We start from the raw sequence: 16,890 nt of genomic DNA, 5'->3' as shown, positions 1-16,890 counted from the left end.
CCTGCCATGGCACCAGATATGTGAGTGAAGCCATCTTGGGTCGTCCAGAGGAATAGCATGGAAGTACCCCTACTGACACCACAGAGAACCTAAGAATCGCCTAGCTGAGCCCTGCCAAATCCCTGATTCACAAGATCATGAGATGTAAGAAAAACGGTGGTTGCTTTATGCCACTAAGATTTACAGGCAGTGTGTTACACAGCAGTAGTAACCGGTGCACCCTTCTAGAATGTAATCTCCACAAGAAATGGATCTTTGTCAATTCTGCTGTGGGATATGATGAGGTTTCTCTTCAAATAATCTGATCAATCTTTTATTCTTTAATTCATTGTACCACCCCCCTTTTCTTCTCCTTTTTTCCTCCTTGCCTTTGTTAAATGCCCAGGCATGCCACAGTACCAAGCGTTATCAGTACCAGCTCACATTCCTTTCCTTATTTGGAAAGAGGACTAACTTTCTAGCTCATTACAGACACCCCTTCCCCTTCCTCTCCACTTTCTTTTACATGCCCACCCTATCTAAAAAAAAATCAAATGTTCAGTCAACTGGGATTAGTTTAGATTGTATGACCCCGGCCAGTGGGGAAAGGGTACAGGGGCAGGACTTGCATCAGGAATAAAGGCTCTCGTGCCCCTTTGTTCAGGTGTGCTCTCATGGCAACTGGCCAAGGAGGTACCCCTCTGCGCAGAAGTACAATTGCTTTGCTAAGAATCCTTTGTTTGAGTGTTCAGTTTCCTTAGGATTTTGAGCGTTATTCCTAACATGCTCACAGATAAACCCCAAGTGCCCAGAATAATGTCTGGCAAACAGTAGGACTTCAACAAGTATCTGCTGAATGAATGAGTGGGATTCTAGTAATATTTTAGTAACATTAAAACGATGTCTATTGATGGAAAACTAGCACCGGTGCAGCATTGATGGATCTGTGTCAGACACAGAGCTTCAAATCCAAATGCTGAGACTCGCATGCTGTACGATCTTGGAGCCTCAGTTTCCCCAACTGTAAAGGCAGGGTGACCCCATCTATGTCATGGGGTTGTTCTGGGGATAATGTGAAGAGAAGGCATATGGCATGCTCAGGATAGGGCCGGCTCTCGGAGGTGCTCGATACGTTTTGCTAAATCTGAGTGAAACTGCAGTCCCTGTTCCCCACACCCCCTCTCCTGTGTTGCATTCAATACCCCAAAGCCCTGCTACCTCCTTTGCTGACTGACCACGAGCAGGGGCTACTCTACAAAAAGAGCTCACGGCCAGGCACAGCGGCTCCCGCCTGTAATCCCAGCACTTTGGGAGGCCACAGTGGGCGAATCACTTGAGGTCAGGAGTTCGAGACCAGCCTGGCCAACATGGTGAAACCCCGTCTCTACTAAAAATACAAAAATTAGCCGGGCGTGGTGGCAGGTGCCTGTAATCCCAGCTACTCAGGAGGCTGAGGTAGGAGAATCGCCGGAACTCGGGAGGCAGGGTTGCAGTGAGCTGAGATTGTGCCATTGCACTCTAGCCTAGGCGACAAGAGTGAGACTCCAACTCAAAAAAAAAAAAAAAAGTTCCCAGTCTGAGGTCAGCAGCGCATTCCCCTGGGAGCCAAGCAGGGGTGAGGTGAATCAGGGTCAAGGCCTGTGTCAGACTTGATCCTGTGTCCACAGCCGCCTTGGACCTGTGCTCAACTGAGCCAAGCTCAGGCACCGCAGAGCAAGAGTGCCCTGCACTGCCTCTGAGGCCAACTCTGAAGATGACCCTCCCCTGCTCACACCAAAGGTCTTCTCCTGGGATGGAGGCCAGCGTGGCTTTCGTTTTCTTGCCACACTTTCAAGGTCATGTCCTGACCCTGTCATGGCCAGGTAGGCATGAAGACCTGCACAGTGATGGAGGCCATGCTCCAAGCAAAATTTAATGGGGTCTTGGGCAAGGTCTTCTGAAAGGCATTTGGAGAGCCTGGCTTGACGCACACCGAGTCCTGTCCTCATTCTGCAGAATCCATCTCTGACCTTTCCTGGGAAGGGGCCAGGGAGGGGTGGATTAATTAAAAGCTGAGGATCAGCGTGTGCAGCCTCTGCCCCTACCGTAAAGACAGCCTCTGCTGCAGCCGAGACCACTGGCATTTCCGGGGGCTGGAGCATGCTCAATGCCCTGCAGGGGAAGGAGGACGAGACTGGGAGGAGGTGGGAAGAAAAACTTCTGTCTGGTGTGGCCAAGAGAGCAACCTTGCAGCCTTTCTTCCCGGGGACCATTTTCAGAGCGAAGACGGAGAATGCATTAAAACTCCTGGTGCCGAATGGTGTGAACCCGGGAGGCGGAGCTTGCAGTGAGCAGAGATCGCGCCACTGCATTCCAGCCTGGGCAACAGAGCGAGAGTCCGTCTCAAAAAAAAAAAAAAAAAAGAAAAAGAAAAAAAAAAAAACAACTCCTGGTGCCTCCAGGGAAGGGGGCCTCTGAAAGACACCCACTTCCAGATCCTCTCCTCTTTCTCCTCTCTTCCCTATTTCACTCTTTTCCTCTTTTCTGCTGTGATCACCCCTGAGAACCTCAGAATCAAAGAAGTACCTGCCAAATATCTATGAAGAAAATCAGTTTGGAAAACAGACTCATTAGGGATCAAGCTTTGGCTCCAAAACCTACTAGCTAGAAGGCCGTAGAAGATTTTCTTTTTCTTTTCTTTTTTTGTTTGAGACAGTCTCGCTCTGTCGCCCAGGCTGGCGTGCCGCGGCGCAATCTCAGCCCACCGCAACCTCTGCCTCCCGGATTCAAGCAATTCTCCTGCCTCAGCCTCCTGAGTAGCTGGGATTACAGGCACGCGCCACCATGCCTGGCTAATTTTCGTATTTTTAGTAAGGACAGTGTTTCACCATGTTGGTCAGGCTGGTCTCAAACTCCTGACCTCATGATTCGCCCGCCTTGGCCTCTCAAAGTGATGGTATTACAAAAGCATGAGCCATTGCATCCGGCCAGAAGAATTTCTTAACCTCTCTCATCCCCATTTTATAGATGGGGAAACTGAGGCTAACACTACCCATCGAACATGGGTTGTTGGGAGGACTGATGACTCACGCAGGCAAAGGAATGAAGAGAGTGCCTGGCAAATTCCAAGTGCTAAATACATGCTAGCCGAAATGATTATCACTCCAAAGTGATGCAGTGTGTGTTCACACCTCAGTCTTCCCAACTACAAAATGGGCTTAATCTCCCCTCCCCAGAACACAGAAGAGTTGAGCTCTGGTAAATGTTTCCAAAACAAGTATCAGATGGGCGTGGGTGAGTGCTAGAGGGTGTCTGTGCATTTGCAAACAGACCAGCCTTTCCGTTGTTCTCAGGATAAATGGAAGACTTCCATAATTAGAACCTTAAGACATCACGGAATCTACTAAGAAGCTGATCCAAGTGTTGAAGCAGACGCCGGAAAGGGCACATGTTAGGGAGGCTGTGTGGGGGACAGGGACGCCTGGGGGAAGGCGCCGTCCTGGCTGCCTGTGCAACTCACAGAGGGTCAAGGACTCAGTGCTAAAAACCCCAGATGAGGACGAGAACATCAGTTCCTCGGGTGCAAAAAAAATTACTGCATAAAAAGCAAAGGGGACAAAGTTTGTTGCAAATGTGTAGACTGTCAGTCACCAGAACCCCAGACTTCAGGGCAGGTTCTGGAAACAATTCTATTTAAAAGGATCTCTGTGTTGGACTGTGAGTCACGGGGTTGCCAAGGAGCCTGGCCTTGCAGAGCCCCGCCCACGTGATACAGGGCTTGGTCAGGTGACTTGCTTTGGCCAATGAGATATCAGCAAGCACGACACAAGAGATGGTTTTAAGGCTCTTGTGCAAGGTAATTGAAGGATCTTAACGGGGAAACTGGGTATACAGCAACGCTCCGTACTATCTTAGAAACTTTTCTGTAAACCTCAAACTACTCTCAAATTAAATGATGATGATTATTAATTATTTTTAAAAAGTGCTTGTGGGCCAGGCACCATGGCTCATGCCTATAATCCCAGCACTTTGGGAGGCCGAGGCAGGTGAATCACTTGAAGTCAGGAGTTCAAGACCAGCCTGGCCAACACGGTGAAACCCCAGCTCTACTAAAAATGCAAAAATCAGCTGGGCGTGGTGGCGGGCGCCTGTAATCCCAGCTACTCAGGAGGCTGAGGCAGGAGAATCGCTTGAACCCAGGAGGTAGAGGTTGCAGTGAGCCAAGATCATGCCACTGCACTCCAGCCTGGGCGACAGAGTAAGACTCTGTCCCCCCACGAAAAATAATATAAAATAAAATAAAAAGTACTTGTGCATTAGGGCATGGGTTCTTTTTAGGAATCCAGCTGCCCTCTGAAGCAGCCAGGGTGAGGGTGCTGAAAGCAGGTCCAGTGGCAACTATAACAGAACAACAACAGAGCCTGGGCAATTCTTCCACCTGACCATCAATTATTATCAACTGGATCAAAATGTGGAGTCTAAGAAGCCTTTAAGGGGGATCTGTTAACAATATTTAAAAGCAGCCGGTAGTATGTAAGGAAGACATTCTGTCTGTAGAGTTAAACTTTGTGGAAGCTTCCAGTGAGTTCCGAGATTTACCAGCAAAGAGTCTTCTACGTCAGGGCTGTGGGACCGAGGGGCTGGCTCAGGGTGGGCCCCCTGCAGCAGCCCCGAGAGCCACCAGGCTAAAGAAACAGCAGTAGCTTCAAGCGTATGAATTTACTAAAGAGGAACATACACATTCAACCCCAGGTGATGAACTGCATAGAAGATGAACACGTCTTTGATGGAGGGAATGAGACTAAGAATGGAGTGCGGATGTGGGAAGGGACACAGGAAACATCAAGTAGCTTTTCAAACCCACACAGTGCTGTGGTGACAAGGATGTGTGTCTAAGAAAGCAAGTGGGCATGGCCGCCCCAGCACAGATGACACATCGTTCTATTCAACAGCCTCTCAGGCCACCTACTACCCCACTGTCTGCAGGCCTGGTGACATCTGCAAAGGCAGCCAGGGCATGGCTGCACCTGCTGGGAGCTTTAGTCTTCCAGCCCCACCGACCCCGCTGGACTTAAGACAGTCTCTGCAGCCTAGAACTCCTTGAAGCAGGAATGCCTATGGGATAGACTCTCATCTACAGGCCTGGTTGGCCACTTGGAAAAATAGGATTCAAGTAAGGTACACTGAGTGTGTCGTAGGTTTCAGGCATGTCCCTAGACTCTGAGCAGGGCCTGGAATGCTCTGAACCACAGGCATCGGCACAAGCTTTGGGGTAGGGAAGCTTTCAGGGAACATTTGGTGAATGAGCAAATTAAATAATAAAGTTGTGTTTCTTTCAGTGTAAGGCAGGTGACTCACTCTGTGGCAGGGAAAAGGCTCCCACAGGCCTTAGTCCTTCCAGTAAGGAGAGGAAACTCCGGATCCTTTCTTCTGCTCCATGCTCAGTCAGTGCTAGCTAACTCCACCCGCCCCGTGCTGGCTGCTGTGCCCTGCAGGCGTTTCTAAAGGAAACAGATGACCCTCACGTGTCCTAAGCCCTGAGAGAGGGCAGTGTTTAGGGCTGCCAAGTCCAGGGAAAGAGAGGGCCTGGTTCGTTTCCCATTCTTGTTGTAACAAAGTGACACAATGCAGTGGCTTCACACGGGGTCCCCAAGCCCCAGGCCATGGACTGGTACTGGTCCCTGGCCTCTTAGGAAGCAGGCTGCACAGCAGGAGGTGAGGGGCGAGCGAGCGAAGTTTCATCTGTATTTACAGCTGCTCCCCATCACTCACATTACCGCCGGAGCTCCACCTCCTGTCTGATCAGCAGCGATGGCATTAGACTCTCATAGGAGCACGAACCCTCTTGTGAACTGCGCATGTGAGGGATCCAGGTTGCGTGCTCCTTATTAGAATCTAATGCCTGATGATCTGTCACTGTCTCCCGTCACCCCTAGATGGGACCATCTAGTTGCAGGAAAACAAGCTCAGGTCTCCCACTGATTCTACATTAGGGTGAATTGTATAATTATTTCACTATATATTACAATGTAATAATAATAGAAATTTAGTGCACAAGAAATGTAGTGCATGTAATGCCCTGGAATCATCCCAAAACCATCCCCCAACCCCGGACACCTGGTCCGTGGAAAAACTGTCTTCCATGAAACCGGTCCCTGGTGCCTAAAAGGTTGGGGACTGCTGGCCTAACATAATACAAATTAATTTAATACAAATGAATGTTCTTATAGTAGTTCTGGAGGTCAAAGGTCTAAAATGGGTGTTACCGGGCTAAAACCCTGGTGTTGGCAGGACTGCCTTTCTTCTGGAGGCTCTGGGGAAAGCCTGTTTCCTTGTCTTTCCCAGCTTCTAGAGGTCGCCTGCACTCCTTGGCTTGCAGCCCCTTCCTGTGTCTTCAAAGCCAGCAACGGTGTGTCAAGGCCCCACATTGAATCCCTCTGGCCTCTGCTCCTCCGGTCACATCTCCTCTGACTCTCTCTTGTGCCTCCCCTTCTACTTTCAAGGGCCCTTGTGATCCACTGGGCCCACCGGAGACTCATCCCAGGGATATCCGATTGGCAAGCTTCGTTCCCCTTTGCCGTGTGACCTAACTCATTCACAAGTCCCAGGAATTAGGCTGGGGACATCTTTGGGAGAGGGGGACATCATTATTCTGCCAAAAACAGGCCCTGAGCCCATCGGACAGGGAAGCTGGTCCAGAAAGCTGCCTAGAGGATGCGGAGACTGAACCTGAAGCAGGCGGAAGAGTGACCATCTGGAGGCTGGGGGAGAGTAAAGTACAAATGCAGAGACCTTGAGGGGACAGAAGGGAGGTGATACCATAGGCACATCCAGGAGCCACACAGATGTAACCACACCACCATGTGCCAGAAGGACAGTGACCAGGCTGCAAAGGGAGGGAGAGGGAGGGAAACGAAAATGGGGACATCCTAAAACACCACACTTCACATAGTGACTCCTGCTGAAAAGCTCCAAGGTCCCTGAGCTTCTGGTGTGACCCTCGAGTTCACCGTGACCATCGCCCATCATCTGCCTGCATCAAAGCCTCAACATCAGGTGTCCCTTCCCACCTCCATGTGCAGACTAGTCTTCTAGCCTTTGTTCAAGCCATTTTCCGCCAGTAATACATATGCGGGGGCCGGGTGCAGTGGCTCATGCCTGTAATCCCAGCACTTTGGGAGGCTGAGTCGGGTGATCACCTGAGGTCAGGGGTTCAAGACCAGCCTGGCCAACATGGTGAAACCCAGTCCTATTAAAAATACAAAATTAGCTGGGTGTGGTGGCACATGCCTGTAGTCCCAGCTACTCGCAGGGCTGAGACAGGAGAATCGTCTGAACCCAGGAGACGGAGGTTGCAGTGAGCTGAGATGGCGCCACTGTACTCCAGTCTGGGTGAGACAGAGCAAGACTCTATCTCAAAAGAAAAAAAAACGTGGGTAAAATACCCATTTCAAAGTGCAAATTAGACCAGTGGATTTTAACGTAGCAGAGTACAAAGGATTAGGTTTCAGATGCGCACTGCAACAAACCTTCAAGAAACTACCACTGAATTTCAGCATGGTATCAAAGAACACCCACAATTATCTAACAAGGCAATTAATATAATCCTTCCTTCTCCAACTATTAATACAAAACTGCGTACGCCAGATTTTCAACCAAAACAACAATCACACTAGACAGACGGAGCAGAGATGAGAATTCAGCACTCTGCTATGAAGCCAGACACCAGTGAGTTTTACAAAAATGTTTAAAAAATAATGCTGCTCTTCTCACTCGAATCTGTTTGGGAAAATACAGCTACTTCTCATTAAAACATAACTATATTGGTGGGGCAAGGTGTCTCACGCCTGTAATCCCAGCACTTTGGGAGGCCGAGGCAGGCAGATTGCTTAAGGTCAAGAGTTCCAGACCAGCCTGGGCAACACGGTGAAATCCTGTCTCTGCTAAAAATACAAAAATTAGCTGGGCATGGTGGCGCGTGCCTGTAATCCCAGCTACTTGGGAGGCTGAGGCACGAGAATCACTTGAACCCAGGAGGCGGAGGTTGCAGTGAGCCGAGGTCACGCCCCTGCACTCAAGCCTGGGTGACACAGTGAAACTATCTCAAAAAAAAAAAAAAAAAGAAAAGGAAAGGAAAGAAAAAGATAACTGTACTTATGTTAACATATAATGCATTTATTATGATGATTTTAAAATAAATTACTAAAGATTTACATATTTTTTCTAGTTTTAATTTTGAAAACATTAATACTAATAGATCTAAACCATATGAGCAAAAGCCCTTTGGGGTCTTCAGTTTTGTAAAGATATAAAGTGGTCCTCAGGCCAAAGAGCTTAAGAAATGCTGTCTTATGAAAATAAACAGATTTACATACACAGATCTTTAAGACAGTGTTATATAATGGCAAACAAACAAACAAAAGACAGAGAGAGAAAAAAAGTGGAAACAACTTAAGTGTCTAATAATAGGGAAACGGCTAAATAAATTATGGTATCTCCATTTGGCAGAACATTATGTAGTCATTAAAAATTATGTTTTCAAAGAGTATTTATTGTTGTGGGAACACGCTCAAAACACCTGACATGCTGTTAAGAGATTTAAAAAGGAATGAAGCAAATTTTCACTATCATTGTTTCTGTGCTGCCTTGATTCGCGGAGAAATCATGAAATTGAGGAGGCCTGAGGAAATCAACAGACACCCCAAAGGGGTCCCCCAGGCTACACGCTTACCACATGTGCTGGGCAGGGCTCATGCAGTTTATACATAAGATGATACCATTGATGAGCTGGGCTTGGTGGCTCATGCTTGTAATCTCAGCACTTTGGAAAGCCGACCCGGGCAGACTGCTTGAGCCCAGGAGTTCCAGACCAGCCTGAGCAACATGGCAAGCCTCCGTCTCTACAAAAAAATACAAAAATTAGCCGGGCATGGTGGTGTGTGCCTGTAGTTCCAGCTTCTCTGGAGGCTCATTTGAGCCCGGGAGGCAGAGGTTGCAGTGAGCTGAGATTGCACCAGTGTACTCCAAGCCTGGATGACAGAGTGAGACTCTGTCTCAAAAAAAAAAAAGAAAAAAATATATATATATGTCTTAAACAATCATTCAGGCTTCTGCCTTTAAGCTCATGATGAGACCAAAATTCAAAACCAAATATTCCCACACTCATTTCCAAAGAAACAAAGGAATCTTCTAAGCCCCCGTTTTTCCCAAACAAGATTCTTTCCATTGCTTTTGTGTTGTAACCGCAGACTGATGTTTTGGGTGCCTGCTTGAGTTCCTGTTCCTCTCACATGCTAGAAATTTCGGGTCTCATTCAAACACAAAGACGGTGGGGCAGTTAGTTGGAGAGAGAATCTGCCAGGGGGCAAGTCTTTGGGGGCTCTGCTTTTTCCCACATTAGGGACACTGGATGTTAACAAGCGTCGCCCAACATCTGCTGCTTGCTCGGCTTGTGCGTTTATTCCCCCTCTCCTCATTATGGGCATATAAATCCCTTTCCATGCCCTGGACTCCTTCTGCCCGCATCTGTCTGCAATTTACTCACCATGTGCTGTGGCTGGTGAAGCATCTTATTTATGACTTTGTAGAATTCCAGGCAGGATGCTCGTGGTGGCTGAAGGTGCCAACTCACTGCCTTTCAGGAATGCCGCTACCTTGAGCTTGGATGGGCTCAAGGGGTGGTCTCAGGTCTGGGCCACCCCTCATGAGAATCAGACAAGCAACATCTCCAAGCAGATCTCAGTATTGGCACTAATGGTACTACACACCAGGCCATGCACTTTACACCTCAATCTTCACAACAATCCTATGAAGTAGCTACTGTTTATTAGTCCCAATTATAAGAAAAACAGGCATTGTTACTATTACCCTCAGCAAAGGAATCATGGGGCAGGGAGGTTAAAGAATGTATCCAAGCTCTAGAACCAGAAATACCATTTGACCCAGGAATCCCATTACTGGGCACATACCCAAAGGATTATAAATCATTCTACTATAGAGACACATGTACACGTATGTTTACTGCAGCACTATTTACAATAGCAAAGACTTGGAACCAACCCAAATGCCTATCAATGACAGACTGGATAAAGAAAATGTGGTACATATACAACATGGAATACTATGCAACCATAAAAAAGAATTAGTTCATGTCCTTTGCAGGGACATGGGTGAAGCTAGAAACCATCATTCTCAGCAAACTAACACAGGAACAGAAAACCAAACACCACACGTTCTCACTCATAAGTGGGAGTCAAACAATGAGAACATGTAGACGCAGGGAGGGGGAACATCACACACTGGGGCCTGTTGGGCAGTAGGGGGCAAGGGGAGGGACAGCATTAGGACAAATATCTAATTAAAACCTAGATGATGAGTTGACAGGTGCAGCAAACCACCATGGCACACATATACCTATGCAACAAACCTGCACGTTCTGCACATGTAACCCAGAACTTAGAGGAAAATAAAAAAGTAAACAACAACAACAACAAAAAAATGCATCCAAGCTCACATAGCCAATAAATGGTAGAGGTGGGATTCAAGCCCCCAGATCTGACTTGAGTCTGCTGTCACCGCCACTGAAGTAAGAATGGCTTCTGTCTCTGGCATCTGGGCCAACTTCCTTCCCTGCGACCATACCCAGAGGGAAGATGAGGCGTGTCTGTGCAGTGGGAAAAAGTCTCTGCTTCTGCTAATTAGCTCTGCCACCCTGGTCAAGTTATTTACTTTCCCTGAACCTCATTCAGGTGTCTCCACCTGAGAAATGGGGTTTCTAGCTCCTGGCAGGATTGAGGTGAATGGTAAGTCACGTACTTAGAAGAGTGTTGGCACCCAGTAGGTGCTCAATAAAGCTTCCTTTTCAAGAATACTGACAAGTCCTTGTTGCTTATATTAATACTCCTACAAAGGGGTGGATCTCTGCGTCCCTGGGCAAGGCCAAAGATCTTTGGTGGTGGATAAGAAATCTTACAGCACAGAGTTAGTAAAGATTGCCTGTACAGCTCTGTGCCTTGTGGGCTAAAGGGAGGAGGATGTACATTATGACAACAGCAGGAACTAACTATCACCTTTCCAGACATTACCTCGTTTCATTCTCACAACCTCCTGCAAAGCCACTGTTAATGTCCAATCACTCAGATCAGGAATGGAGAGGCTAGGTTGTACATCCTAGATTGTAGGTTTAAAGAGGCTAGGTTGTAGCCTCCAAGGAGCTGGGGATGGTAGTGTAAGTGAGCCTCTGCTTAACTCCCGCCGCCGCCATCCCTGTAGGCCCAGGAACCACTAAGGGAGGTTTTTCTCCTCCTTGCAGATCCAGAAGAGCACATAGGGGTGAGAATCCTGTACCTGGTCAAAGACGTGGAGGTTGGCGTCTCTGTCCCTGGGACACAGAATGGGAAAGGTGATTGAACAGCATCTGGCTGCTTCCTGAGCCAGTCCCTACTCTCCACTACATGATAAAGCTTGGCAAGACCAAACGACAACAGCTTGCACAGCCTGAGCCCAGCAGCACTTGCTTGTGGGAGATTCCCGAGACTTGGGTCTCCATCCTGAGAAGGAGAATGGATATTACAGGATCCTGGGAAGCTGGGCGTGGAGGATGGCTCACACAGATCTGCCTAGACTGCCGGGTGGCTGCATAGAGGAAAAGTACGCCTACTTGGCAAAATGACTTCCCAGGCATGCCATGTCAGCTGGGCCACAATGCACCCCAATGTCTATTACAGCTTCAAAAGACCACCCAAAATGCTGCCGCCGTGACCCCACCAGAAACAAGACCCCAGAAGAAGAGGGTCATCTACCTGCCTTGGAAAGCAACATGTACTGCTGAAAAGAACACTTGTCAAGAGTGCTGTGACACTCTGGATACGGGCTCACCCTCAGCTGAGGACTTCCCAGGCTTTCTGGGGGATAGTCAGCTGGGCACTGGACAGATAGCCTTCTTGGCCTGCTGCCCACATCACACCCCTTGTCAGGGAATTGGCTCTCACTGAGCCGATTAACTGTCCAGCAAAATCCATTCTCTCTTTTACCCTGTTAGAGTCCTAGCTGGGACAAGGCCACCTAGCTAGAAACTACATTTCCCAGAACCCTCTGCATCTAGGAATGGTCACATGACCAAGCTCTTGCAAAGGCAAATCTCTGGCCCTCCATTCTGGCTCTTTCCCTGGGGTCTCTCAGGGAAACACATACACCCAACCGGCCTCAAATGCTCACTGTGGGGTGGTAAAGGAAGAAACAGATTCTTTAAGCCTCTGTGTTTTGGGGTCTCTTTGTTACAGCAGCATGGTATTAACCTAATTAATAAACCTGCTTTAGCTTCAGAAACAACATTTTTAAAGAGGATTCATTGTTCTAGTGAATGGTAAGTGGAAAGAAGGTTGCAAAGCTTTATTGTCTTTTCTAGAAGAAGCAAAGACACTGAGGGGGCTTAAGAGAATCAATGCAGACCCCAAAGGCTGTGTTTTCCCCAGATGTTTCATGCCTGAGTTCTCCAAGCACTGTGGAGTCCACTGACAGGTTACATGATGGCTTCCAACCTTTCTCAAATAACCCGCTGAGACCCTTCTTCCAGCCCCATAGAATGTGGCAGTGCCTCCCGGGAGAGAGGGATGTGGGTCCCTCCAGGGAAACCAGGCTGAGCATGTGGACAGCGGTTTCCTCATCTCCTAAAGCAATTTCTGGCTGAAGACACACCAGCCACATGGTAGTTACGGGTCTGTGGTCCTTGTCTTCAAGAGACCCCCTGGACACTACACCATGTCATCTTCCAACTCCTTCCTCTGGGCCCAGGAGAGCCCATCATGGTGAGCAAGAGGGACGCATGGGACACAGACATGTCCTCCAGCAGAGAAATCAGCGTAGCCACACTATGCCCTGAGTGGAGGCACCGAAGGACCCCAAGGGTGCTGGGTAAGAGAGACTCGGCTGCTGGGTCAGCGTCCTGGTCCAGCCAAGATGCCCATCCACCATTCACACCCCAGAAGGAGACACCTCACATCCAGCCATATGGACAATGTGTGATGGTCACACTGGAGGAAGGAATGGCATCTGCACCCAGCCCACAAGATGCAGAATTCCACTCGAAGAAGGGACAGGGCAGCCACAGCTGGAGGTGGGTGCTGGGAGACCCCTGTGTCCATCTGCGTCACTTCCCCTGCATGGGGAGGACTCCAGATCCCTGGGGCCTGAGCTCCCAGCGAAGGAACTGCTGCTGACTCGTCACTCACCCTGCAAGGCTTCTTTGGCTCTGGCTAGCTCCTGCTCCTTCTGGGCCAGCTGGACCCTGAGCTCGGTGGCCGAGAGGACCTCAGAGGACTTGCCGCCCTGCGACTCCTCCAGGTCCTTCGCCAACATCTCCTTCATCTGCCGGAGAAGGTGAACTTCCTCCTGGAGCCGCGACACTTCTTCCCGCAGGAGCACTAGGGGAGAAGGGCACAGGGTTAGAGGACAGGAACGTCTCTGCCGCTCACTCGCATTTTCTGGGGATGGTTTGAGGTGGCTTTGGCTTTTTTGTTTGCTCTGCATTCAGGGCCTTTCCTACATGTGTGAAGGGAGGCCACTGCCTTATTCCAAAGAGCCTCAGCACCAATTCTAGGCCCCACCCACAGTCTGCAGAGCTCACCTAGTGAGACCCCTCCACCACGACTCCCGAGGACTCCACTGCCGCTGTCCTGCACTCAGAGTGTCCGCTCTGGTGGCCGACGGTCTTAGGAGTTAGCATCATAACCATGAGCCAACAGCATGCTGAGTTGAGTTTCATATGCATTATCTCATTTAAGCCACCAAAACCTTCGGATGCAGGGACCATCATAACCCCATTTTATAAATTAGGACATCGATGCCCAGAGAGATTAAGTAACTCCAGGTGGTCATAAAGTTAGTACATAGCAGAGCTGGGAATTGAACCAAGGCCTGGCTGACTCCACAGCCTGGACTCCCAGTCTCATGCTTGGGAAACAGCCATAGAAAGGCATATTCAACACATTTTGCAAAACACATACCCTCGAGGAGCTCAGCACTGTGTACAAACAGAACTTGTGCATTTGCACCTGACTGTCCTGCAGGAAAATAGGGTCTAATGAGCAGTGACAAGGTGACACCGTGGGCAGAGGTTTCTGCAGCACTTAAATCCAACCCTACATACAGTGAGGCCCCAGAAATGGGGCCAAGGAGAACACGGTGTCTCCTCAGGCTGTGGGGTGCCTCAGGAAGCGACCCAGAAGGTGCGCCATCCTCCCAAAGTGAGAGCCGTGTCAACCAAGGTATTGTCAGCTTCTCAGTCCTGCGGGCGGATAGACACACCCATGCCCAGGTCAGCTCACCTGGGCAATAGTGAAAACAGAACTGCTAAGGGGTGCTGGAGGCAGTGATCAGGCTGTGCACAGGCGCCAGGCTACGTGTACCTCTGCATAACTCTTAGGAGAGTGCATTAAGAGAAGGAGGAAACCTCACTTAGGAGACCGTGGAAGGACATACTGAAATATTCATTAAGCAGGTCCCCTTGAGAATAAACAGACAAAGGTACCACACTCACCAGCCGCATGCTGGTCACCGGGCCGCCCCCACCCTCCGCACACTGCCTTCCCCTTCCTTCATTTTACATCTCAGAGGGACCTGGGGAGGGGACAAGGGCAGCCCTGGCTGGGGCCAGGCCTCTGCCTACATCCTCTCCCTCTTCCCACCTGCAGCCACACTGGTCCCTCTCTCTACAATATGCCACACTCTTTCCAGCATAGGGCCTTTGTCTCTGCAGTGCCCTCCACCTGAACACCCTTTCCTGGTTCTTCCTGTGGCTGCCTCCTCATTGTGACACAAGCGTCTACTCCACATCACCTGCGTGGAAGGGTCTTCTCTCACCGCCCTGTGTGATGCTGTATTTATCTGTCTCTTTCCCAAACTCAATGTTGGCTCTAGGGGCGGGTGGGGGTGCAGGGCTGTCTGTGTCCATCACTGCTATGGCGGAAGCTCAGCACAAACTCTGCCCCGCCTCCCTGCACCCCGGCCTCCTTCCTCTTTGCTCTTTCTCCGCAGCACTCATCAGCGCCTGTCATGCCCTATGGATCTGTTTATCCACAGGCTGGCTGTAAGGCCCAGGAGGGCGGGAACTTGAGTCTGTTTTGTCCATGGCCGCATCCTCATGCCTAGAACAGCACCTGGCACCTGGCTGCCCTCGAGAATGAACAGACGAAGGCGCCGCACTCACCAGCCTTGCGCTGGCCACCTGGCCGTCCCACCCTCTGCACGGACTCCTCCCCTCCCCTCCCCACACTGCCTTCCCCTTCCCTCCATTCCAGATCACAGAGGGACCAGGGGAGGGGCCAAGGGCAGCCCTGGCTAGACCGGACACATGCAGGTAGAGCCAGGAGCGTCCCTGCTGGTAAAAGGGGATGTGTATTCCCTGGAGGTCTGGTGCACAGTCCTCGCCCCCGAGGGTCATGGAAGGGGCGTGGCTGGGGGCACAGCTTTGGAGTCACCAGGTCTCCGGCCAGGCATGTGGTGGCTGTCCCACCCTGCTGAGCCTCGGACACTGCATCTGTTAAACGGGTCTAACCCTCATTGGCTGTGAGGCTCCTCGGAGGCATTGGAAGTGCCCCTCCTCATAAAGGAAGTGCTCCATGTACACAGGAAGTGCTCCATGTATATAAGAAGTGCTCCATGTACCCAGGAAGTGCCTTGTGTACATAGGAAGTGCTCCATGTACACAGGAAGTGCTCCATGTATATAAGAAGTGCTCCATGTACCCAAGAAGTGCCCTGTATACATAGGAAGTGCTCCACATACACAGGAAATGCTCCATGTACCTATGCAAGATGTGCTCCGTGAATGCCATGTACACAGAGAAGGTCCAATATTGGTAATGCACTGCCCTTTCCTAGATGCCCTACCCTCGCCATCAGTGCCTGCTGGCAATCTCTAAGGCACTACAACCCTCTGGACTACTAGGGATCCACTGGCCTCGAGGCTGAGCGGGCAGAGCCAGGTCCAGGGGAGGGAGCAGGCAGAGGGGGAGCAGGGCTGAGCCCTGAGGATGGGGCGCCTCTCTCCCACCAGCGGCCTTGGGAAAAGGTGGTGGCAACTCCAGCCCCTGTTCCCTCATCCATCTCACATCACTTCCTGAGGCCACAATGGGCCCAGCCACCCCTGTAAGGAGAGGAGGCCTCCCAGGGCACCTCCCTGCCCTCCCAGCTCCTCCTAACCCGAGTCCTTCCTCCCCACAGAAGCCCGAGGGCGCCTCTGAGGTGCAAGGCACATCTCACTCGGTGCCGACAGCCTCCCCGCCCCACCTAGCATATTAGCTGCCTCTTTGGCCCTGTCTGAGGCCTCCTTCAGGATGCCAGCTTCTCTCAGTTCTGGAAGGCGCTAGACTCGCCACACCTCAGGGCCTCCGCAGAGCTGTGACCTGCCTGGGAGCTCGTCTCCCCTCTTCATGATTTCCTTCCCATCAGCCTGTCTCAGCCTCACTGTCACAGCCTCAAGAGACCTAAAACGGCTCCGCTCCTGTCCAGCGTCAACAGCACGGCAGGCAACCCGGACAAAACCCCGTAGTGACGTGGAGGCTCACTCGCTCCCCAGCGGCGTGCTTGGTGGACACAGGATCCGAGAGCGGGGCCCAATCGCATATCCTGCCTCGTCTCCTTCACTGTTGGGTCTTCAGCGCTGGAAACAGTGACTGCGCGACACATCACGGGCACTCGGTAACGTCTGTCGAATGGCTCCATCCACCCAACATGGAGAGGCCCCTGCCTCATACCATGCACGGCTCTAGGCACGGGGGCACTGGGGTGAATGCCCCAGACAGGCCCCACTCTCAGGCTAGTGCTCCTGGACCCCACGGTCAAAGGATCCCCAAATCTCATATGCCATGGAGGCAGCAAGTCTCTTAGCAAAACTCCTAAGTAGGAGGTTTGCTTTTGGGGCCATGCCCCTGCT

The 16,890-nt window shown here is 50.5% G+C and overlaps 1 protein-coding gene across 21 annotated transcripts in view, besides 2 other annotated features; it reads right to left on the bottom strand.

Moving 5' to 3' along the window:
* The window catches only part of KAZN (kazrin, periplakin interacting protein), a 1,225,220-nt gene that overhangs the window by 143,981 nt on the left and 1,064,349 nt on the right, over positions 1 to 16,890 (bottom strand). For 20 of the 21 annotated variants that reach the window (XM_011541074.4, XM_005245795.6, XM_011541080.4 and 17 more), the window contains one exon: positions 13,188 to 13,379. In XM_011541074.4, coding sequence (XP_011539376.1) covers positions 13,188 to 13,379 — 192 coding nt within the window. The remainder of the gene's footprint in view (positions 1 to 13,187; positions 13,380 to 16,890) is intronic. The other variant, NM_001370230.2, reaches the window with a different exon arrangement.
* Positions 3,293 to 4,015: an enhancer, noted in NCBI's record as "H3K4me1 hESC enhancer chr1:15296544-15297266 (GRCh37/hg19 assembly coordinates)". NCBI's record gives its function as "activates a minimal SCP1, AML or CMV promoter by ChIP-STARR-seq in primed H9 embryonic stem cells {active_cell/tissue: H9 hESC(primed)}" and the evidence as "EXISTENCE:reporter gene assay evidence [ECO:0000049][PMID:30033119]".
* Positions 5,203 to 6,107: an enhancer, noted in NCBI's record as "H3K4me1 hESC enhancer chr1:15294452-15295356 (GRCh37/hg19 assembly coordinates)". NCBI's record gives its function as "activates a minimal SCP1, AML or CMV promoter by ChIP-STARR-seq in naive H9 embryonic stem cells {active_cell/tissue: H9 hESC(naive)}" and the evidence as "EXISTENCE:reporter gene assay evidence [ECO:0000049][PMID:30033119]".

The sequence above is a fragment of the Homo sapiens genome, chromosome 1 (genome assembly GCF_000001405.40).
Source record: "Homo sapiens chromosome 1, GRCh38.p14 Primary Assembly".
NCBI classification, from domain to species: domain Eukaryota; kingdom Metazoa; phylum Chordata; class Mammalia; order Primates; family Hominidae; genus Homo; species Homo sapiens.
The sequence above is the reverse complement of the archived record's forward strand: the minus strand, read 5'-3'. Positions and strand labels throughout refer to the sequence as shown.